This window comes from Homo sapiens, chromosome 13 (genome assembly GCF_000001405.40).
Source record: "Homo sapiens chromosome 13, GRCh38.p14 Primary Assembly".
Classification (NCBI taxonomy): Eukaryota; Metazoa; Chordata; class Mammalia; order Primates; family Hominidae; genus Homo; species Homo sapiens.
Genome location: NC_000013.11, coordinates 98,880,437 through 98,902,958, shown reverse-complemented (window position 1 = coordinate 98,902,958; position 22,522 = coordinate 98,880,437). Strand labels below are relative to the sequence as shown.

Genomic DNA, 22,522 nt, shown 5'->3' with positions numbered 1-22,522 from the left:
TTAAAAATAAACATTAAAAAAAAAATAGGCAGAGGTTTCAGATGTACCTTTACAGTGCAGCCTGGATAAGAAATCCTAGTCCCTGGTATCAAAGAGGTGCAGTGTTTGGATCAGGATATGGAGGTTGTTAGCCTGCAAGGACAGGATGTTCGTGATGGAAGATGAGGGTGGCAGGTTTGTGCTCAGCTTTCCAGGAGACAGAGTTCATCTTAGATGCTTCAGGGAACGCAACTGTGTTTTCTATGGAACATACATTACGTAGCAAAACACATAAAGGTAAAATAATTGTTTTGTTTGTTTCCTAAAATGTTTTATAAGCTAATTCTCTGTATGCAGAAGGATGAGACTGTTTAGTAGTAATTTATGGCAACAGTCCTAAATAGGTCTTGTCATTTCTCTTTTGATAGCAACATTCTTTTGTCCCTGTTTGAGCCATGGTGATCATTGGATTGTTTTGTTTTGTTCAGGTTGAACCTTTCTTTGTTACTCTATCCCTGTTTGACATAAAATACAACCGGAAGATTTCTGCCGATTTCCACGTAGACCTGAACCATTTCTCAGTGAGGCAAATGCTCGCCACCACGTCCCCGGCGCTGATGAATGGCAGTGGGCAGAGCCCATCTGTCCTCAAGGGCATCCTTCATGAAGCCGCCATGCAGTATCCGAAGCAGGTGGGGAGTATGAGCCCAGCATTCCCACTACTCAGACTCACTTTGCATGCTACCTAAATGCACCAAAAATGCTCAAATTAGACCTTGTAATGCACAAGTGGGGTCATTAGACTCTTAATTAATAGTATTTATTATTAGACAGTAAAAGCAAGCTGAGAAATAAGTGGCTTTTAATTTCCTTTCTTCTTTCTAAAAGTTCTCCTAGTTACCTCCCTCACCAAATAGACTTTTTGAGCAGATGATGAACTGTTTGTCAGCTAACTAGTTTGGCACTGGGTGCTTTTTACTAGTTGTCCTGTTTCACTGTTCTTTGCTGTTTAATGTTCATGGGATTTGTTTAACGTAGCTGTGAATTCTGCTTACTGAAGAAAATTGTTTGCCTCCTAGGGAATATTTTCAGTCACTTGTCCTCATCCAGATATATTTCTTGTGGCCAGAATTGAAAAAGTCCTTCAGGGGAGCATCACACATTGCGCTGAGCCATATATGAAAAGTTCAGACTCTTCTAAGGTATGAATGGCTTTTACGCTTTGGGGTGGTAAAAAGCAATCTGAAAAGAGGCCTTTATGTGATACTATAAATCCTTAATGAAATCAAACATAAGCCATATTTATACTCTAAAAGATGTAGAATATGCTACCTGTATTTACTCTGAACTTTATGTCTTGATTTTGAAGGAAATGTAGTCCTATGTGTAAATAAAATGATCCACTTGACTAGACAGTTCTGACATCCTAAAATAATTTGCAAAGGAATTACCAGCTTAATAGTAAACTTTCTGTGTTAGAAGGTACATGTATGATATTCAAATAGAGTTTCTTCTATCTGTTAATTTGCCTCTTGGGTTCTGAAATTCTATTTTGGTCCACTTACACTTATATATGAGGCTGGAGACCAGGAGATGCCCTTGGCTCAGATGACCTGGCCAGCAGTGTCAGTGATTCAGGTCCACTTGGTTTTTGCTAGAAGGGGCAGAGTTTTAGGTGGAAGATGGAAAGAAAACATACATGATGTATGTTTGGTTTTTTTCAAAGTAGTGTTCATTACTTGGGAAGTGCCTAGGCATGGACATACCATAGAATTATTAAATATTAGAGGTCATCTAGTCCAAGATGTGCTTTCATATTTCAGGACACTGAGGCTCACCAAGGCTTAGTGATCTGCTCAGTGTCTCATGGCTGGAGCTGCCAGGGGGCACTTGACTGCCACTTCGTAGCACCTTGTGCTACCTGGTTAGTGTAATCTGTTAAGTGCTATTATCCTTGCCAGTTTTACATATTTTTAGTTATTTAAAAAAAAAATTGTGTGGTCATCTGAGAGGCCTGAATTCACTGACAAGGACTGGTCAGCAGTAGGAGTGGATACCCCAGAGGCTGTGAGTGAAGTTTACTAAGTTGGATTCAGAGCTTCCTATCTTCACCTCTATGGGCGCCCATGCATCACAGCTGTGTCCACAGGATGCACGATGGCCATTGAGAAATGGATTTTGGAGTCAGAAGACCTGGGTGCTGCATGCTTAACTCATCTGGGTCCTTTGGACAAATCACATCACCTCTCATGGCCTCCATATGTTCCTTCTGTGCATGAAGGATGATGTTACTTCTTGCCTCTGCCTTCCTCATAGGGACAGTGTTAGGATCAAACAGATCATGTATGAGTCAGTGCTGTGGGCACCATAAATCACAGAAAGCCCAGAAGACATCGTCATTTATTACAGCCCCAGTCAAGTAAAAGCCCATTTACCCAGGCACATTGGTTCCAACAGTAAGCCTTTTTGGCTGATGAAAGCTGTGTAAAGTTTGGTCTCTGGAGAGAAGCTGTTTTATTTTTTTAAACCAAGTCTGTAAAACCTTGGATGAGAAGCTCTTTTAGCTCTTTTATGTTTTGATCAATAATCAATGAAGGCCCAATATAAGATCTCCTCCCCCGACCGTGTATGCAACACATTTCCAAGGCCCATCCACAGCAACTTTGTTACTTCTGCCTGCCGCATGCATGGTTTGAAATTTGGCAGCTCATATTGGTGTAAAAATCACATATCACTGTAGGCTAAACTTACCTCTGCACACTCCTCCATGTCCACTGAGCATCTGCTGAAGTCTGCTTTTTCTTCATTTTTTTATGGAATGTAAAGCTCATCCATGTGTACATTATTCATGCATTTACTTTTCTGCCACCTCCAAAGCATTCAATTAAAGCAGGAATTAAGGCTCAACTATCTTACTTTAGCACAGTTTTGGCAGAGATGTTACAGTGAGATGATTTTTTTCTGTCTGTCAAAGTTGTTTCTTCATGTTTTCCAAGATGGTCTAGAACATCATTTAGAGTAAATTTTCATTTTGGAGGAAATTTTTATGAAAAGTCTCTGTAGGTATCTCCTGTGAATAGAGGTTTTAAAAAGAAAAAGAAGGGGAAAAAAGCCCAAAGGGAAAAAATAAGTTTCTTACTCTGACTTTCACACATACTGTGTTCTATTTGCTCCCTTCATATGTCCGAGAGCTAAGTCCTCATTCACTGCAGAAAAGGCTTATTGATGTTTTATGTTTTAGCTTTAAATTTTATGAAATTACTGCATTTTACTCCACAACATATTCATCATTGTTAGAACCAAAAAATCTTGAACCTGAAAATGTTTAAGTAAATTGACCCTGCAGCTAGGTAGGCCATTGTACCCTATAACTCATACACCTAAGACCCCACTAAGTCGCCCCACCCAGGGAGGCAAGAACATACCTCATTGGAGAAGGGGGGAGGTCCTAGATGATTCCCTGACATCTCTTCCAATTAGGATGTATTTTCCAGGTTACTCATGAAGGCAGCAGTTCCTACAGCATGATTATGGTAGGATTATAAAGTTTTGCAACTGAAAGGGATCATGAAAAGTATAGCCTAGCCCCCATTTTCAGGTGTGGATAGTGGAGCTCAGAGAGGTTTGATGGCCTACAGAGTCATACAGCTGGATTCAGTGTGACTTAGAGACAGACAGCTCTGTCATCTAGATCCTTCTGGATCCTTCTAGATCCTTCCTGTGGCTGATGGTACACACAGATCACCGGAGGTCTTGTCAGAACGCACGTTCTGATCCAGGAAGTTTGGGGCAAGGCCTGAGACTCTGCATTTCTACAGTGATGCTGATGCTATAGCACACTTTGGTTTTGGAGTACATTTCCCAAAATTGGTTTGACTTTGATATACTTATGTAAAAGACCCTTCAGTAAAAAAAAAAAAAAAAAAATTAAGTAATGTAAAAGACCCTTCACTGTAACTCTGAGACAATCAAACTTTGCATTGATGACAAAGCACTATCACAGTACAGACAAATTTGGAAAAATTAAGCATTATCTTTTTTAGCAATAGGGGTATAGATGATTAATAATAGGTCTGCCTTAGGCTAAAAGCAAATAAGCTTCATTGTACACTGTGAATTAATCAATCAATCAACAACAAACCAAAATTGATCATTAGGAAGTAGAAATAGCAGTAATTCATGTTTAGAAAGCAAGAATATAGCATTGAGAACCCCAGCCTAACTGAAGTCAGTATCTTAATATCTTATCCCTTATATTGTGGGAATCAGCATAAGCTAGTGCGCTTTAGGAGCTGTGAAAGCTTAGTATTTTAATTAGTGTTCTCATTTCAATCCTAATAATGTGATATATTTTGATATGGATACCAAATAGTAATTATTAATAACTCAGTAGACTTATAATAAGTAGCACTTAGTCATAAAGATGTATGAAAACCTCTGAAACAGCATGTTTGTTGCCCGTAAAGACCAAAGAAGAGACATGGATTTTGGAAAGTCTTCGTTCTGTATTCTTTGAGAATCACTGCTAGAGAATGCGTTAAATAAAGTACTCTGCACAGAGTGTGAATCCAGCCATATTCATTACTGTATGATGTGCTTTTCTATGCATCCAATGCTATGGTAAGGACTTATTTAGTGAGCATGTAAGGATGGCTCTTGAGGTCACAGTTCTTTCAGTGAGATGCAGTATCTCATAGCTTTATTCTCATGTCTTCAAGGTGGCCCAGAAGGTGCTGAAGAATGCCAAGCAGGCATGCCAAAGACTAGGACAGTATAGAATGCCATTTGCTTGGGCAGCAAGGTAAGGAACACCTTTTATACCTTTTAAATCGATATAGATAGGTGCATGGATGGGTCAATAGGCCTATTCTGTTTGTTGTTCAGAGACAAAGAGGATTTGAATGTGTAAAACTGAGAAATACATAAGCCCAGATTTTGAAAAAATCATTTGGTAGAGTCACAGAGAGGATAGACACTGTCTGGAGAAGTGCTACCTGGAACTGGCAGGGTGCACGGTAGTGTTAGCTGCAGAGCTGGGATTCAAGGACCCAACCACATGCCTCCAGCTGGAAGTCAGGGCAATCCAGTGAGGCCTGGGGTGATCTTTATCTCTTGACTCTACTTGTTAAGCATTTGACTTGTGTATATTGTTTCCTAAGCACAAGCCATTGGCTGGAACTGTTTTCTATGTAAATTGATTTAGTTGTCCTCATCCCCATAGATGTTTTCCATGTTTTTAGATAATGAGATTTCTGTTGGCTATAGCCAATGGAATAATAATTAGACTTCTCATAGAAACTAGACTTAAATAATGAATTGATTTTGGTGTTTTGGAAACCCAGTTTAGAAATGTTGCTTTGCCATTTCAGGACATTGTTTAAGGATGCATCTGGAAATCTTGACAAAAATGCCAGATTTTCTGCCATCTACAGGCAAGACAGCAATAAGCTATCCAATGATGACATGCTCAAGTTACTTGCAGACTTTCGGAAGTGAGTTTCAAGGTCTTATTTCCACACCTGAAAAATAGAAGCTGTGTAGTGGGGAGGGAGGAACAGGGGAGCAGTCACTTAGGTTGCTCGATTTAGACATCAGAGGGGATGGCAAATGAGCGTGAAGCATTTCCTCAAACCCTTGAGAAGAAAGATGGGGTGAAAATCAGAAGAATAACCAGTTAATTTGAATTCTGTAGAGGATGTTTTGGGTGGTGCTGTGAAGGGTGGACTGGGTAAGGATGAGCCTATGGTGGGGAGGAAACAGTTGAGGAACCTTGTCAAGAGGTGAGAAAGGACTCAGCAAAGCCACTGCAAGTGCAAACAGGAAGAAGGGGACAAATTCAAGTCGTGCCAAAGAGATACGATGACTGGGTCTTGGCTTGGGGTGGTAATAGTCTAAGATAAATAACTTGCAAGGTTTCTAACTTGGAAGTTTCTGGCACCAGTTGTTGCTTAGCTTGTGGCAGCATTGCTCCACTCTGCCTCTGGCCTCACATGGTCCTCTTCCTGTGTGTCTCTGTCTAAATTCCCTTCTTAGAACACTAGTGATAAAGCATCAGGGCCAAGCCTAGTGACCTCATCTTAACTGATTGCATCTGCAGAGACCCTGTTTCCAAATAGGTCACATTTATAGGTACAAAGGGTTGGGACTTCACCATGCTTTTGGAGGACACAATTCAACCCATAACAATGAGGCAAAGAGGGAGCAAGGAATGTGTGCAACATCACAGGGCCGGCAGCTTCCCCAAGTCAGTCTCACCCGAGGGTCTGTGTTCTTAACCTCTATGCTGTTTTGCTGCTACATCCTAAAGAGTTCACTCTGAACCTTTGAAACTGATTTTCTTTGCTAGGGAGATGGGTCTTAGAATTTTTCTGGGGAAATTCTGGGAATGTGAAAGAGCTGAGGGCGCTAGAAGATGTGAAGTGAAAAGAATAGCTGAGAGCCAAATGCTAACTATTCTATGCCAAAGGTATCCTTGTTTTTTTTTTTTTTTGTGCATATCAAAATAGCAATCTTATCAGTTTGTCTAGAACTCAAGAATGATTGCTTAGCTTTCTTTAACCTTATTTTACCTTTTTCTTATCTGTCTTCAGTAGTAGGAATAGAAACGATATGAGTCATAGAAACAGGCTCAATAAGTTCTGAAAACACAGAGACGTGTTCCTAATCAGAATCCAATCACGTCCATGTCAGCAGGCGGCTTCAGCCTTCACAGCGACGTGAAATCCCTTGTCAAGAGGCTCAAAAAGGTAGAAAGGATTCTCAAGGTCTCTTTCAGTTATGTGATTATACAGTTTTTGACTGTCTTGATGTTTCCCCTGTTTGGAGCTTTAATGAGAAGTGCAACCTCAGTTTTGCTAACATGCAGCTAAGGTTGGCCTGTTCAGCAAAGCAGTGTGCATGCCCGCTGGGCTGATTTGGAATGAACCTTTCACAGCTCACGTAGGGAATTGGAGAAGGGGGAGAGGAGGATACTGGTGAAGGATGAGGCCTGCTGGGTTAGCCTTCCAGGGTTCCTGGACCATATAGGTGCCCCAAATTCCCAGTCACTATCTGACAGTTTTATGACCTGGTAAGGACACAGGTCTTGGCCAGGGAGTGCCCCTGGATCCCTATGAATCTGTTATTCATGAAAGACTAAATAAAAGAATAGTACCCTATTTTTACTTTTAAATCATAGAGGTTCTTTAGTTTACAAACATAATACATGTTCATTTTAGAAATTTTGAGAAATACAGAAGAATAAAAGGATGAAAAAAGGTTTACTACTAGTTTTAACCTTCGTGGTGAACTTTTGGAGAACTTTTTTTTTTTTTTTGAGATGGAGTCTCACTCTGTCCCTCAGGCTGGCGTACAGTAGCACGATTTCAGCTCACTGCAACCTCCGCCTCCCGAGTTCAAGCGATTCTCCTGCCTCAGCCTCCCAAGTAGCTGGGACTATAGGCGCCCACCACTACGCCTGGCTAATTTTTGTATTTTTAGTAGAGATGGGGTTTCACCATATTGGCCAGGCTGATCTCAAACTGCTGACCTTGTGATCTGCCCGCCTCAGCCTCCCAAAGTGCTGGGATTACAGGCATGAGCCACCGTGCCCAGCCTAGGGGGGAACATTTTTTTTTACGTTTTATTCCTTTACATTTTATTTTAGTTTATCTTATGTAGCTATGATCATACTAAATATGTAATATTTCCCTGCACAACTCAAGTATTTTCTGAAAGTGTTATATATACATTTTTATAGACATCATTTTTAATGCATAAATATTATAATAGTCCATTGAGATAGACCATAGATTATTTAACTCTTCCCCCATTTTTTGACTTTTTTTTTTTTTTCCGAGATGGAGTCTCGCTCTGTCGCCAGGCTGGAGTGCAGTGGCACCATCTCAGCTCACTGCAACCTCCGCCTCCCAGGTTCAAGCAATTCTCCTGCCTCAGCCTCCTGAGTAGCTGGGACTCCTGAGTAGCTGAGTAGCGCATGCTGCCACGCCCCGCTAATTTTTTTTTTTTTTTTTTTTTTTTTTTGTATTTTAGTAGAGATACTAAATATCTCACCATCTTGCCCAGGCTGGTCTCAAACTCCTGACCTCAGGCAATCTGCCCGCCTCAGCTTCCCAAAGTGCTGGGATTACAGGTGTGAGCCACCATGCCCAGCCATTTTTTGACTTTTAATGTGTTTCTGATTTTTCAGAATTATACCTATAAGCCACAGTTAGAATCTTTAAAAAAATCTTCTCTATTGGTAGTGGGTAATATATTATCATACATACTATATTATCATATAGTAATTATTGTCATTTTTTGAGTTTCAAGAAAATTTCATTCTTACTAATTTTTTCAAAAACCAGTCACCTTTAGTTGGATAGATTTCAATATTTTCCTTCGCTCAACTACCATGCAACTCTTAATAACCATGAGGTGGGTCTGCGTGTACTTAGGAAAGTGAATACACTATATTATTAAGGAAGAAAAAATATATCTGTATTACTATATTTTTTGAAAGAAAATATATATTTCTTTTGTATGTAAATGAAGAAATGGATAAGCAAGTAGCTATCTAGATGGAAAGATAGGCATAAAAATAGCTATTTAGGATATATGCCAAATAATCATGGTTATCTCTGAGGGATGGGTTGATGGGTGATATTTCACCTTCCACTTTATAACATTCTGTCATTTTTATATGAACTTTTAAAAAACTAACACTTTTATATTCAGACAAAACAAACAATGAAGTTTTTTATATGTGATGGAGGTTGGAGCCCTGTCTCAGAAGTTACTTCCTAGGCTGGTTAGCTTGAGACTTCCCCACAGTGGCGGCTCCTCAGGGGCAGCCCCAGTGCATGGTCCTGTCTTCAGTGGAGGCTGGGGAGTGGGGCTTCACATGGTCACTAATTTGAAAGTGATGGGAGCAGAAAGCCTGTGGCCAGGCAGAAAGGAGCCCAGGGAAAACCAAGTGTGAGTTCTCTTCTGCACACCACTTCTTCATGCATGTGCTCAGCAGGAGGGCATTGGTGTGAAGGGTGTGCTCCAGGTGGCCAGTTAGAGACCCAGAAACCTGAAAACAGGGATCCGATGGTGACAGCATAGAAGACACAGCAGGATAAGTGAGGCCACGCTCCTCAATAAGTATTCAAAGAAACTTTGGTGCCCACTCCCCGTATTCTTCACAACAGAGTTAGGGGACGTGGAGGATTCCTTTTTCATTTTTTAAAAATCTTTGCATTGCTATTTTTCTTTCCTCTGTATATTTTACAGGAAATAATCTCATGTCAGTGGCCTGGGCACCGGCTTGGATCCAAAGCTATTGTTTCTACCCCCATGATTGTCTCAAAATGTTATTTAATAATGCATGAAAAAAATTTCTTCACGCTGTCTCAGTCTTAACAAAACAGCTGCCAAAGCTCATAAGCCACTTTCCTTTTTCCCTTGCAATAATTACCCAGGGATATGTTCCAAGATTTAGTAAGAAAGCGATTCTGTCCGATAGATGATATTGCTAACATTTTATAAGAAGAGAGACTTGGTACTTTGTATTTGATTTGTTCATGGTGGTATCTCATGGATAAGATGGTATCTCATCTTTTCCAACTTCTGCAGGAAATGCGAAGACATGAAGGCAAAGTATAAAAATAGAACGTTTTCTTTAAAACGTAGACCTTTTTAATGGTACTACGTTGGATAGTTTAGGTAATAATACTACTAAAGTTTTTGCGTATGCAGCTTAATGTGTCTGTGTTTATTTGTACACTCATCTTCTTTGCATCCAGGTTTTACAGTCTTACCCCGATTTCGCTCTGGTTACACTGCACTCAAGCCAAGTAGGGCTGCTTGACTTTCTCTAAACCCACTGGGGACTTCCCTCTGCCATGCTTTTCTCTCTGCCCAAATTGTGTCCCCTTCCTGCCTCATCAAGCAGCACATAAATCACAAACACATGCAGCATACACACTTCCCCTTTTCCTTTGTCTTTCTCAGGGAACTCTACTCATCTTTCAAAGCCCAGTCTGTGGCTCACTTCTGTGCTGGGAGTCCTGGAGGCGGTTACTTGGCTTCTCTGCCTGAGCCGCCTCCTCTTTTTAAGGGTGGATAATAACAGCCCCTGCCCCCTAAAACCGTGGTGGGGAATAAATGCAAAAGGCATTAAGGTGATTTCTCCCACCATGAATACTGATCTCATCCCGTGTTCCCTCTCGATAGATCTAGATACTCTGCCTTCTGGTAGAGGTTTGTACATACTCTGTGAAAGTGATTGCCCTCATATGCCGTAAGTAGCTTACAGTGTCTACTGGACTTTTGGCTTCTTGAGGAAAGAAATTATGTCTTGTTTGCATTCCTCCATGGTCCTGAGTACATACATTGCAGCATATCCTAAGCACTTGATAAATGCTTATTGAATTTTCTTCTTAGACATAAACTCAGTGGTTTTTGTTGAAACAAAAATATCTCAAATTTCTTTCAATCATATATAGTTGTTTTTTTTTAAGTGACACCAAAGCTTTTAGGGAATATTTCCTTTCACAAAACACAGTTAGAAGATTAAACTCACCACCAATAGCAGTCCAAACATACCTGTATTGCCAGCTAATCATTTTAACGAGCCAATACAGGAAGTCAGGAAGGGAAGACCGGCTGCAGAAACACTTAGATAAGGACCCCAAATCTGTTGGCATGGGAGGACTGCTAGTTGATGATACCATTCCCATTTCCTCTGTGGGAATTGTTGAGTCAGCAGAAATGGATGGGCAGTGGGAAGGGAAAATTTTCCTAAGAGAGAGTTTGAGCCTCACTTCTACATTCACACAGAGACAGGAGCAGTTCCCAGAGGCCAGGCATCCTGCAAGTGTCTGTATTGCATGCTTACTTAATTCGTGTAATTTTAAGATGAGTTTTCATGTTCAAGGATTATTTTATAAATTTTGCATAGAATATAGGTACTCTTTAGCAAAACAAAGCAAAAAAACCAAAACTATTCTCAGTCATGAAAGAATTCAGTTTGTGTAACACGCACACAACCACCACTTTGGAAGTGCATAAAAAGGCAGTAAAATCTTTATTGCCTGTGAGTGTTTGATGTCTAATAAACCAGATTCAACATAAACCATAAACTTTTGAAATGGGTTTGAGATTGGGTTTTTAAAAACTTAAAGCTGGCAAAAAAAAAAACAACTTTTAAAAGCCCATGTGCTACATAATATGGAACTAAACTCAGAAATGTGCTTGGAAACACATGGAAAGAACGTCTTTACAGAAGCAGCAACTAGAAGTAAAATCTCTCAGCAGAGGGAGGAAATAGAATAAGAAATAACTATAGTTAGGCACAGAAGGACACAATACACTATAGGAAGATTTCCAGTGAAGATCATTTAATTAAAATATGTTGCTTAGAAACGTATTTTAATTGTGTTCCACCTCTCTCAAAAATTTATATGTGGAGGATGTTGGAGTGATCTTAAAAATGGTGATGAAGATGCCTGTTCATTCATAGGTGGAAATAATTAGGAGGGGGTGAAATCCATTACCCTTGCATACTTACTTATATTTAAAAGTATAATTTGTAATAAACAGAGTATTTCTAACTCAAAGCAGATACAACTTCATAGGTGTCTCTACAATTTTGTGGAGTGCAGTGTCTTGTGATATGTTGTGGTGTTGAATTCCTCCACTGAAGAGGTGAGCAAGGCACCGTATGTCAAGAAAATTGATACCTTCATAAAACCCCCTGTCTGAAGGTTGATGCCCCTGAAGAGTTCTATGTGAAGCTGAGAGAGGCTCCACAAGCTATCATCGTAGGAGTGCCCAGAGCTTGGGAGATGCTGGGTCAAAAGCTCTCAGGAAATGACTGACCCTTGAGGGGAGGCTGCTGCCCCTCCTCCCACCAACAGGAAAGGATCTTGTGTGTGTGAAGCAGCTCACACCGCAGGCACAGGGGCAAACTGTAGGGGAGTGCTTGGCTGTACCTGGAGAGCTCTTGGCCAGACATCTTTTCAACGGAAGGCGGAACATGTGAAAAATCATTGACTTGCCTTCCTGACCATTACCTCTTTCAGGAACTGTTCATTTAAACTCAGATGTAAACAGAAGACAAGTGGAAATGAGAGGGAGGGACCCTGAGAGAAAGAGATTTAGCAGCTTAGAGCTGGCGATGGGCCACGATGGATCTTCTCAACATCGTCTCTAGTCTTAAGGATGCAGGAATTTAGAAATTTTAGGGAAGTCCTAATTCAGGTGACAAATATTCCAAGATGTACTGAGGAGTGACACGTGAGGCTGCTTAATAGTCAGCAGTCATGTCCAAAGAATCTGCAAAATTGTAGGTAGGAACTTTTCAAAAATGGGAACAAAACCAAATGCTGAATCTGCCAGTCCCTGTGCTTTGGTGATCTTTGGCAATGTTCTAAAGGAGATCTGAAACAGGTGGCGTAGGAAGGACTGTGAGGCGGCATTGTGTTTCCTAAGACTAAGTCATATCGTGTTGAACTAGTCATCCTAACTGCATTTCTTCTCTCTTTGTAACTGCGCCGCTAAGCTTGTGTAGTAGAGGAGTGCAAAGGCTTCAGCAGAATGTATTTACCACGTGTGGGTGCTGTGGTAGCCTGTGAATGAGTCAAAGAAGCGCTGCACACGTGAGTGGGCAGTTGTTCAACTGCTGGAAAAACCAGATGCTAGGGAGGGTGATGAATGAGCTAGTGTCAGTCTGGAAATGGGCCTCCAGAGACTTGGGAAGGAGCCTGTTCTTGGCAATATACTGTGCAGTATCTTTATCAATGACTTTTATGAGACTATAACATGCTGATTAAATATTTTTATGACATAAAGCTATTAGGAATATCTAATGCAGTAGGTGGTAAAATCTGGATCTAGGAGGACTTTGATAAACTAGAAATAGCTCAAACACAATACGATGAAATTTCAGCAAGACAAAAATTAAATTCTCTTCTGAGGTCCAAAAATATAATTATATAAATAAAGGACAAAGAAATAAGCATGTGAAAAAAGATGTAGGAATTTTAGGTGACTGTAAATTTCCTGTGAGTCACTAGGATGGTATGGCTACCTAAAAGTAATAGCTTTGAGGCTGTGTTAATAGACAGGTATATTGTTGAAAACCAGACAGAGGCTGTGCACCCAGCTGTGCACCCACACTGGCCAGATGTATGCAGTTCCAGGCTCTGTAATATAAATGGCAGGTTCTTCTGGGAGAGAATGACATTGGGGCAGGTGCAAAAGTGCTGAGAATAGAGGGCTTCAGAATGTGTAGTATAGGTGGTTGAAAGATAGAGGAACATCGCTAGACCCCTTGGTGAGTAGAAGTTTCAGGGAGGTGAATTTCACTATGCTATGAGCAAGAGCAGACTAGTGTCAAAACCGCTGAATCAGAAGTCTCATTGTCACTAGGAAGGGTGAGGCAGTAGCAGCACTTGTCAGGAGTGTCACAGGGGATTCCTATATTGGATTGAGTCAGAACAAATATTAATACAACAATTTCAGTGAGCTTCGACTCTGAACCCAGCATTGTGCTGGACACTGGAGCCTAAGATGATTTCTAGTTCCTGATGGTGATGATTGTATGTTTTATTTTATTTTTTATTTCAATAGGTTTTTGGAGAACAGGTGGTGTTTGCTTACATGAATAAGTTCTTTAGTGGTGATTTCTGTGATTTTGGTGCACCCATCACCCGAGCAGTGTACACTGTACCCAATGTGTAGTCTTTTTTCCCTCACCCCACTCCCACCCTTTCCCACAAGTCGCCAAAGTTCATTGTATCATTCTACTGCCTTTGCATCCTCATAGCTTAGCTCCCCCAAATGGTGATGATTCTAAATGAGCCAAATATTTATGGTGAGGCTGGAGTGATTCAGGAACACTTGAGCTGTAACTGTTTTGCTGATATTCTTTATCTAGACCTGTACTGTGTAGTGCGCAGCCACTAGCCATGTGTGGCTGTCCTGTGAAATACAGGACGTCTGAATTGAGATGTGCTTTAAGTATAAAACCAGTAATACATATCTGGTTTTAAAGACTTAGAGTACACATTTTTTATACTGATTAAATACTGACATGGTAATATTTTGGACCTATTGGGTTGAGTGAAGTATATTATTAAAATTAATGTTACCAGTTCCTGTTTGCTGTTTTTCATGAGGCTACTAGAATGTTTAAAATTGTCTTTATGGCTTGCTTTATATTTCTCTTGGAAGTGCTGCTCTAGAGTGTCGGTTTTAGAGTTAACTTACGAATGTTTAATTTTTCTCTTCTTTTGTTTGCAGACCTGAGAAGATGGCTAAGCTCCCAGTGATTTTAGGCAATCTAGACATTACAATTGATAATGTTTCCTCAGACTTCCCTAGTAAGTGTCAGTTCTACATAATAGACAGAATTTTTATTAGTTTGGGTTTTACTTCAGTTTGAGTTATTTTGAATATCTTTGCAGATTATGTTAATTCATCATACATTCCCACAAAACAATTTGAAACCTGCAGTAAAACTCCCATCACGTTTGAAGTGGAGGAATTTGTGCCCTGCATACCAAAACACACTCAGCCTTACACCATCTACACCAATCACCTTTACGTTTATCCTAAGTACTTGAAATACGACAGTCAGAAGTCTTTTGCCAAGGTGAGTGTGAAGATGGAGGTTTCATTCTTGATGTCAAACCCTCCCTTTAGATTCAGCGTCCCATGTTCTTTTATAAATACTTACATAGTCTGACTTTCTGTTGTTTTTTCTTATTCTGTTTTGTTTATTGCTGCAGGCTAGAAATATTGCGATTTGCATTGAATTCAAAGATTCAGATGAGGAAGACTCTCAGCCCCTTAAGGTTTGTTTTTTTTTAATATATGTTCACCTACGAATTCTGATTTTTCCATTTTCAAAATGCACTTTCATGATACCGTACAACTACAACAGTTTAGCACATTTTAATTGACACAAATCAAAAATATATAATGTTACAATGTATAAACATATATACTCAATCTTATCGAATATGGAATATTTAGGTTCTGGCTCCTAATTGACTGTTTTTTATTCTTTTTAAGGATCAGAGTTTCTTATACACACTCAATTCAGCAAACACTTACTGTTCACCTATGAGCCAAGTGCTCATACTGTGGGTGCTAAGAATTAGGATATGAATAATGTTGATCATAGAAATAATAATAACTGATCAACAATTGATAATTTTATTAAATGTTTACTACAGTATAGTAATAATAATAGCAGTAGATTATAGGTAACTTTTATTGAAAGCTGTTTGTACTCCAGGCACTGCTCTAGTGTGTGTTTAACTCTTTTGGTTCTCAGTAGTCTTTTGAGTTAAGTATTATTATTATCCTTTTTTTTTTTTTTTTTTTTTTTTTTGAGATGGAGTCTCGCTCTGTCGCCCAGGCTGGAGTGCAGTGGTGTGATCTCGGCTCACTGCAAGCACTGCCTCCCAGGTTCATGCCATTCTCCTGCCTCAGCCTCCCGAGTAGCTGGGACTACAGGAGCCTGCCACCACACCCCGCTAATTTTTTGTATTTTTAGTAGAGACGGGGTTTCACCATGTTAGCCAGGATGGTCTCGATCTCCTGACCGTGTGATCTGCCCACCTTGGCCTCCCAAAATGCTGGGATTACAGGCGTGAGCCACCCCACCCGGCCTATTATCCATATGTTTTAGGTGAGGGGAGTAGTGCAGAATTTTTTGCCTAAGGTAAAACATTAGTGGAACCAAGATTCAAACCCGGGCAGTCTAGCTCCATAACCCAAATTGTTTTACTGTGACTATGTTAAAGTGACTTCCTAAGAGGAGAAGGAGACAAAGATGCAAAAAAAAAAAAAAAAAAAAAAAATATATATATATATATATAAAATATAGTATCTGTCCTCAAGAAATTCAGTCAAGTGGGAAAAACAGTCGTGGAGAAAAAGATCTTGGTGGACAGATGGTATGAAATGAAGTTTTGGACAAAACTGAAAATTAATACAGAAAAATGCTGAGGGGACACATGGAAGGAGTTGACAATTTCTTGAAGAATGCTTGAGCGTTTTCTTGATGCATGCAGAAGCGAAGGTTATTTGGACAGAAGAATTGCATAAGAAAAGGCATGGAAATGTGAAAGGGAACAGTGAGCAAGGCATCATCCAGGGCTGTGACCTGGAAGGGCAGGAAGGGGAGCAGGCAGATGGGCTTCAAGGCAAGCTGGAAGGTGGGCAGGACCCAGCAGTCCGGGGCTCACAGGCCTGGGGCCCATCAGAGGTGGCGATGCTAAGTCTATGCCGTAGGAATGCCTCCTCCTTTACGATATATCCAAGTTTAATTTCTTACTTAATCGAACCGTGATGTTTCCCTTTGGTAACTCTTATTTTAGTGCATTTATGGCAGACCTGGTGGGCCAGTTTTCACAAGAAGCGCCTTTGCTGCAGTTTTACACCATCACCAAAACCCAGAATTTTATGATGAGGTAAGTGATGTTTTTAAGGGAAAACCGAATTTGACCAGTTTTAAGGGAAACTTTAATGTATTTGCCTGGTAAAGGAAAATTCAAGAGAAGCTGCATATTACACTGAAATTACAGAGCTAGAACTGCATGTTGAAGTATTTCTTTTATATATTCTGATTGTAAATGTAACATTTTCATTATTAAAAGAAATAGAAATTTGGATAATGCAGATAATACAGAAAAGAAAAAGTCATAATCCCACTATCACTACCACAATTAATATTCTGGTATATTTCCTATCAAATTCATACTTTAGTTACATTTGTTGGACCTGAGAATCTTTCTTTCTTATCATTGGGTTTGCTTACATAAAATATAATGTAATTCATTGAAACCACTGTATGCATGCTACTTGGGAATGTTCTATCCTGGTTCTTCATAATGCCTTGGCTGTGGTAACTTAGCGTAGCAGTTACTGTCCTGTGTTTTCCAGTTCTTCCTAGAAATACCATCAACTCTCTTCCTGTTTCTGAGTGGTGAATTCAGGATTCATTTCTTGCTTGGCACAATTTATAGTCTCAGTATCTTTGAGTGCAAATGTTAATATCCGCTCGGAGAACAAGTGCACGTTTATGCGTTGGGTAACACATACTGTCTCTGCTTCCACTGAGAGTTTCTGTGTTTTTAGAATATTTTGTTGTTATTTTGTCTTCCCTTGCAGATTAAAATAGAGTTGCCCACTCAGCTGCATGAAAAGCACCACCTGTTGCTCACATTCTTCCATGTCAGCTGTGACAACTCAAGTAAAGGAAGCACGAAGAAGAGGGATGTCGTTGAAACCCAAGGTTGGGGGGGCTTACCATTCCTTTGATTTTAAATAATTGAAACATTAGGTTCTTAAATTGTATTAAGATTCTGAATTTCCATCTTTTTGCAAAGGGATCTTTAAATGAATTTTATAGGTAACGGATATGTAGCATGTCTGGGTTGCATATGTAATTTTTTTTTTTTTTTTTAATTTTTGAGCTCAAGCTGTCCTTCCACCTCAGCCTCCTGAATAGCTGGGACTACAGGCACGCACCACACCCACTGGCTAATTTTTGTATTTTTTTGTAGAGACGGGATTTCGCCATGTTGCCCAGGCTGGTCTCGAACTCGTGAGCTCAAGCAGTCTGCCCACCTCTGCCTCCCAAAATGCTGGGATTACAGGTGTGAGCCACCATGCCCAGCCTGCATATGTACATTTTTATAAAAGAAGATTGTAGAATTCTAACCCCGAAAAGGCCTAAGTACATTGTAGACAATGTTCTGCAGAGATTACATTTAGGGCATTTTAAATTTCTTACTCTAATTGATAGGAAAAGTTCTTAAAAATCAGACGGTTTTACATTGGCTTGCTTTCATAAGTTTTCATACACTCACAGTGTTCTGTTGTTGTTGTTGTTCTTTGTTTTCAACAGTTGGCTACTCCTGGCTTCCCCTCCTGAAAGACGGAAGGGTGGTGACAAGCGAGCAGCACATCCCGGTCTCGGCGAACCTTCCTTCGGGCTATCTTGGCTACCAGGAGCTTGGGATGGGCAGGGTATGTCCCATTTTAAGATTGGGTCATCCCAATTTCTTCAGAAAACATTAAAGAACAACTAAAACAACAATAACACACAAAAAGCAAACAGTATTTTTGCTCTTCCACCATTTTGATATTAGTTATTCATTTTCAAGTAAACTTTGGCCAATTGAAGACAGTGCTGTTAGCAGTTACCTCAATGTCAGAATTACAGTTTGGGCATTTTGTAAGCCCTGAACTAGTGGTGTCTCAGCGGAAAAATAGAGACTTGGAAATCTGGGATAAGGTCTGTCTCTGCCGACTGGCCATGCTCAAATAAAGATGAGTTCTTAGGGTCATGCAAACTATTAGGAATTTTCCTCCAGCTTAAAGTAAGTCAAGTACGCCAAATCTCTCACCCACAGGGTTGCACATTCTGAAACCTTTCTGATTCTTGAAAGCCTAATTTTCCCCAGATTTCTTTAATTGCTTTGTTGGTTTTGCATTCTTTTTAGCCATCTTAAATTTTATAGACTGCGGCTTTATAACATGCTTAAATAAAGCCTGTTCTTTTTATGTTTGTCTGCATTTAAATGATGCCAAATTTAAGTTCATATTATAGACAAATAGTTAAATTTTCCCAAAGAAGAATAAATTGTATAATTGAGCATGACAGAGAAATGGAGGTTTCAAAAGTTGAAATTAGTGTGAGCAGACGATTGACCCTTTGCCTGTGCCAGGCCTGCATATTATGCTGTTTGCTTTATCTGGCACCTTTTACTGGCTTCTTCAGAATCCTGAGCTCAAGTTGGGTTCAGATGCTGGTGTAATAGGATTCTTTCCCTCTCAAATGAACAATAACTCACACAGCTGCAAAGAAACAGAAAAGATAACTTAGAAAATCCAGTAATAAAAGCACTGTACTTTGGGGGAAGAAAGGGGGCAGAAATGTGTATCAGCTGCATTCCTGCCATGGGCCCGGCACAGTCGCCAAGTCACTAAAGTTCTCTGGGCCCTCTTTCAGTCCCTCATCATTACCCTCATTGATGATCATGTTAGAGCCAAAATAACTAATCTGTAGGGATATTGTTTCTTCCATATTTTTTTTAGCATTATGGTCCGGAAATTAAATGGGTAGATGGAGGCAAGCCACTGCTGAAAATTTCCACTCATCTGGTTTCTACAGTGTATACTCAGGTATGTGCTCCTTCAACAAAATTAGCAGTTGCTGCCCTGTGACAAAGTTTGCACCATTTTGCAAGAAGAAAAAAATCCTAATGTGTTATATTACTATATTTTTACTCTATAGATCTTTTTCTAAAGAAAGAAAGTACAACTGAAGTGCTTATATGTATTCATATAAATGACTAGTACAAGCATCATTTTGCAACAGATTTCCCCTTTCATTGGAGGATCTTCTTGATGTTATTTGTACACGATCAATTTTTAGTCTTAATAAGATGAGGCTGGGTGTGGTGGCTCACACCTGTAATCCTAGCATTTTGGAGGCCAAGGTGGGCAGATCACTTTAGCCCAGGGGTTTGAGACCAGCCTGGCCAACATGGCAAAACCTTGTCTCTACAAAAATACAAAAATTATCCAGGCATGGTGATGTGTGCCTGTAGTCCCAGCTACCTAGGAGGCTAGGGTAGGGGGATTGCAAGAGGCTGGGAGGTCAAGGCCGCAGTGAGCCATGGTCATGTCACTGCACCCCAGCCAGGGCGACAGAGCAAGACTCTGTCTCAAAAAAAACAGCAACAACAACAACAACAACAACAACATACAGCAAAAAAGCATGCTGCAAGAAACAAATGCTTCTATTTCCACAGCGTGTATTCTAATAGACTTTCTTCTTCTTTTCCTTTTTCCCTACCTCAGGATCAGCATTTACATAATTTTTTCCAGTACTGTCAGAAAACCGAATCTGGAGCCCAAGCCTTAGGAAACGAACTTGTAAAGTACCTTAAGGTATCACATGGCTTTCTTAGTATCCCCTTTTAAGTGAGTTTGGAGTAGGTTGGGTTTTCTCTTTGGTGGTGAGTGGTGTTCTCACCCCTTGGAAGCTCTTACCTGGATGTCTCACATCAGTAGCTTCTATGAGGTTTAGATAGTGGTAAGAAGTGGACCTAGGAACGGCACTACTCCTGCCTGTGTCCTAGTCCCATGTATCCTTTGCTCAAGGCAGGATCTCTAAAACATACTGTTTCTCACGCATGGAAAACCCCTCACTTGAGACGGACCTCCCTGGGTACCGAGCACAGTGATGGGCACAGAAGCAGAGACTTCGGTCCTCACCCTTAGGGAACTTCTAGTTCATTGTAGGAGATACTATAAACTTGGTGACTGCATGCTAGGCAGACAAATCAAATAAAGAAATAATGCACAGAACCAGTCCCAGCTTTGTGCAAGGGGTTCCTGGCGTGTCTAAGCAGCAAGAGCCAGGCAGGGTTTGTCTAGGAGAGCTTCATCCAGAACGTGGCTGTGGGGAGCATTTTGGAAAGGGGAAATAGCTAAAAGGGCATGGGGACAAAACAAGAAATGTGAGAAATGGAATAGAAATTTGTTTGGTTTAACAAGGAAAATGGAATACATATCCACATAAACAATGAAGTTTTTATATGTGATTGCTTGCGGCCCCTCCCTCCATCTCAAAGACAGCCACACAGCATCTCTCTGACCCTGCTTCCTCTGTCCCAGCTCCCTCTGACTCCTCTCCCCTTCTGTCTCCCTCTTCTGGTTTATGGCCCTTTGCGATTCCATGGGCACACCTGGATAATCCCTATCATAAGGCCTGACTAGCAGCCTTACCTCCCCTGGGCCATGTGATGTATTCACATGTGCTGAGGACTAAGACACAGACGCCTCTGGGGACATTCTGCCCACCACAGCCTTCCCTTTGTTTTAGAGGGAGTTCTTCCATCCTTGTTTGGAAGAGTGGAAGTTACTTTAGGCTGGTTTACTTTTAGAAGGATAACATGAACTGTGCCATTCTGTGTCCGTAGAGTCTGCATGCGATGGAAGGCCACGTGATGATCGCCTTCTTGCCCACTATCCTAAACCAGCTGTTCCGAGTCCTCACCAGAGCCACACAGGAAGAAGTCGCGGTTAACGTGACTCGGTAAGGGAGGTGGATGGATGCTCTTCCTCACTTCTAGTCTGTCCACATCTGGAGCATAGTCATGCATAGCTGGGATGCTACTGTGTGCTGAACATTACATTTAAGAAATGTCTTTGATCCCATGTGTAAGGACCCCATCTAATTCCTTGTCTCCTTGTTTCCTAAGTGCTGATAGCATCATCATTGTTCTACTACTGCTGTGATAATAATGAAATGTTTCCATTTTTACATATTCTTTGCTTTATTCACTCCTGTGGTGTGTAGGGTCATTATTCATGTGGTTGCCCAGTGCCATGAGGAAGGATTGGAGAGCCACTTGAGGTCATATGTTAAGGTATGTAAAACACACTGTTCTGATCACTTACATCTGTGGCTCTCCAGTTTTCCTTCTAAGGACTTATTTTTTCACAAGCCTGGTTATTTGAGGATGTGCTTGTAACGTATGCTTTCTCTTCTATTTCTCATAGCCAATGCTTGTACCTGAATAGGGGAGGTACGAAGAGGGACAGCCATTCACTAATTTACTTAATTCCATTCCTTCAATTATGTTTCTTTTAATGGGTTTTCCAAATAATATGACTCAATGTGGAAGTTTAAAGAAGAATTTTAAGTTGTTCTTGGCTAGGCCTCTGCTAACGTTAGTTGTCTTCCTTTTTTTTTTTCTTTCCATCTAAACTTTCCAGCAAAACTGCTCCTCCCAGATAGGAAGGTTAGCTCTGGCTACAGTCAAATTAGATGACTCTGTGGGACAGCAAGAGATGTTGTTAGGATAAACATCAACAAGTTATTTATTTATATACAACATCCAGTAAGTAGAGTGGCAGTTACTATTCTAAACAGATGCACATATTCTGTTTACTATTAAATACCTTTGTAAATTACAACTATGTGATAATTTAAAAAGTAAAGTTCTGGTCCTTTAGGGTATCAGTCATACATTGTTGTGCCACACATTCCTTGAAGCCCCTGGCACAGGTGGAGTTACGGGCTGGCTGGTCACTGATTTGACCGGGTCAGATGACTCACATATTTTCTTGAAGACATCCTGGACTCCTTTTTATCACATGACACTCACCCTTCCCATCTTTGTATCCACACCTTCCTCTCCCACAAATGATATTGTAGCTCAGTCCCTGATCTCCATTCTTGGGAGTCTCTCAAGCTTTCAGCCCACATTGGAGAGCCAGTGCATTAAAGTCTCTTTCTCTTTTCTTCAAAGTACGCGTATAAGGCTGAGCCATATGTTGCCTCTGAATACAAGACAGTGCATGAAGAACTGACCAAATCCATGACCACGATTCTCAAGCCTTCTGCCGATTTCCTCACCAGCAACAAACTACTGAAGGTATGTCAGGAGAGTCAGTGTGGCTCTGATTGAAACTGATTAACAGGAATTCACTCCACAGCCTGATCAATACAGCCTTTCTGAGTGCTCTTAGAGACAAACACCACTCC

At 40.5% G+C, this 22,522-nt stretch overlaps 1 protein-coding gene across 43 annotated transcripts in view, besides 1 other annotated feature; it reads left to right on the top strand.

The window, feature by feature from the left end:
• The window catches only part of DOCK9 (dedicator of cytokinesis 9), a 295,191-nt gene that overhangs the window by 185,661 nt on the left and 87,008 nt on the right, over positions 1-22,522 (top strand). For all 43 annotated transcript variants that reach the window (XM_047430231.1, XM_005254035.4, XM_006719937.4 and 40 more), the window contains exons 12-26: positions 468-671; positions 1,059-1,181; positions 4,698-4,780; positions 5,349-5,471; positions 14,248-14,327; positions 14,412-14,599; positions 14,736-14,801; positions 16,335-16,427; positions 17,128-17,251; positions 17,867-17,988; positions 19,060-19,146; positions 19,828-19,917; positions 20,952-21,067; positions 21,332-21,401; positions 22,287-22,412. In XM_047430231.1, the coding sequence (XP_047286187.1) occupies positions 468-671; positions 1,059-1,181; positions 4,698-4,780; positions 5,349-5,471; positions 14,248-14,327; positions 14,412-14,599; positions 14,736-14,801; positions 16,335-16,427; positions 17,128-17,251; positions 17,867-17,988; positions 19,060-19,146; positions 19,828-19,917; positions 20,952-21,067; positions 21,332-21,401; positions 22,287-22,412 (1,695 nt within the window). The remainder of the gene's footprint in view (positions 1-467; positions 672-1,058; positions 1,182-4,697; positions 4,781-5,348; positions 5,472-14,247; positions 14,328-14,411; positions 14,600-14,735; positions 14,802-16,334; positions 16,428-17,127; positions 17,252-17,866; positions 17,989-19,059; positions 19,147-19,827; positions 19,918-20,951; positions 21,068-21,331; positions 21,402-22,286; positions 22,413-22,522) is intronic.
• Positions 74-1,273: an enhancer, noted in NCBI's record as "BRD4-independent group 4 enhancer chr13:99553940-99555139 (GRCh37/hg19 assembly coordinates)". NCBI's record gives its function as "activates an origin of replication core promoter dependent on BRD2, P300/CBP, MED14 and CDK7 cofactors, and independent of BRD4, by STARR-seq in HCT116 cells {active_cell/tissue: HCT116}" and the evidence as "EXISTENCE:reporter gene assay evidence [ECO:0000049][PMID:35650434]".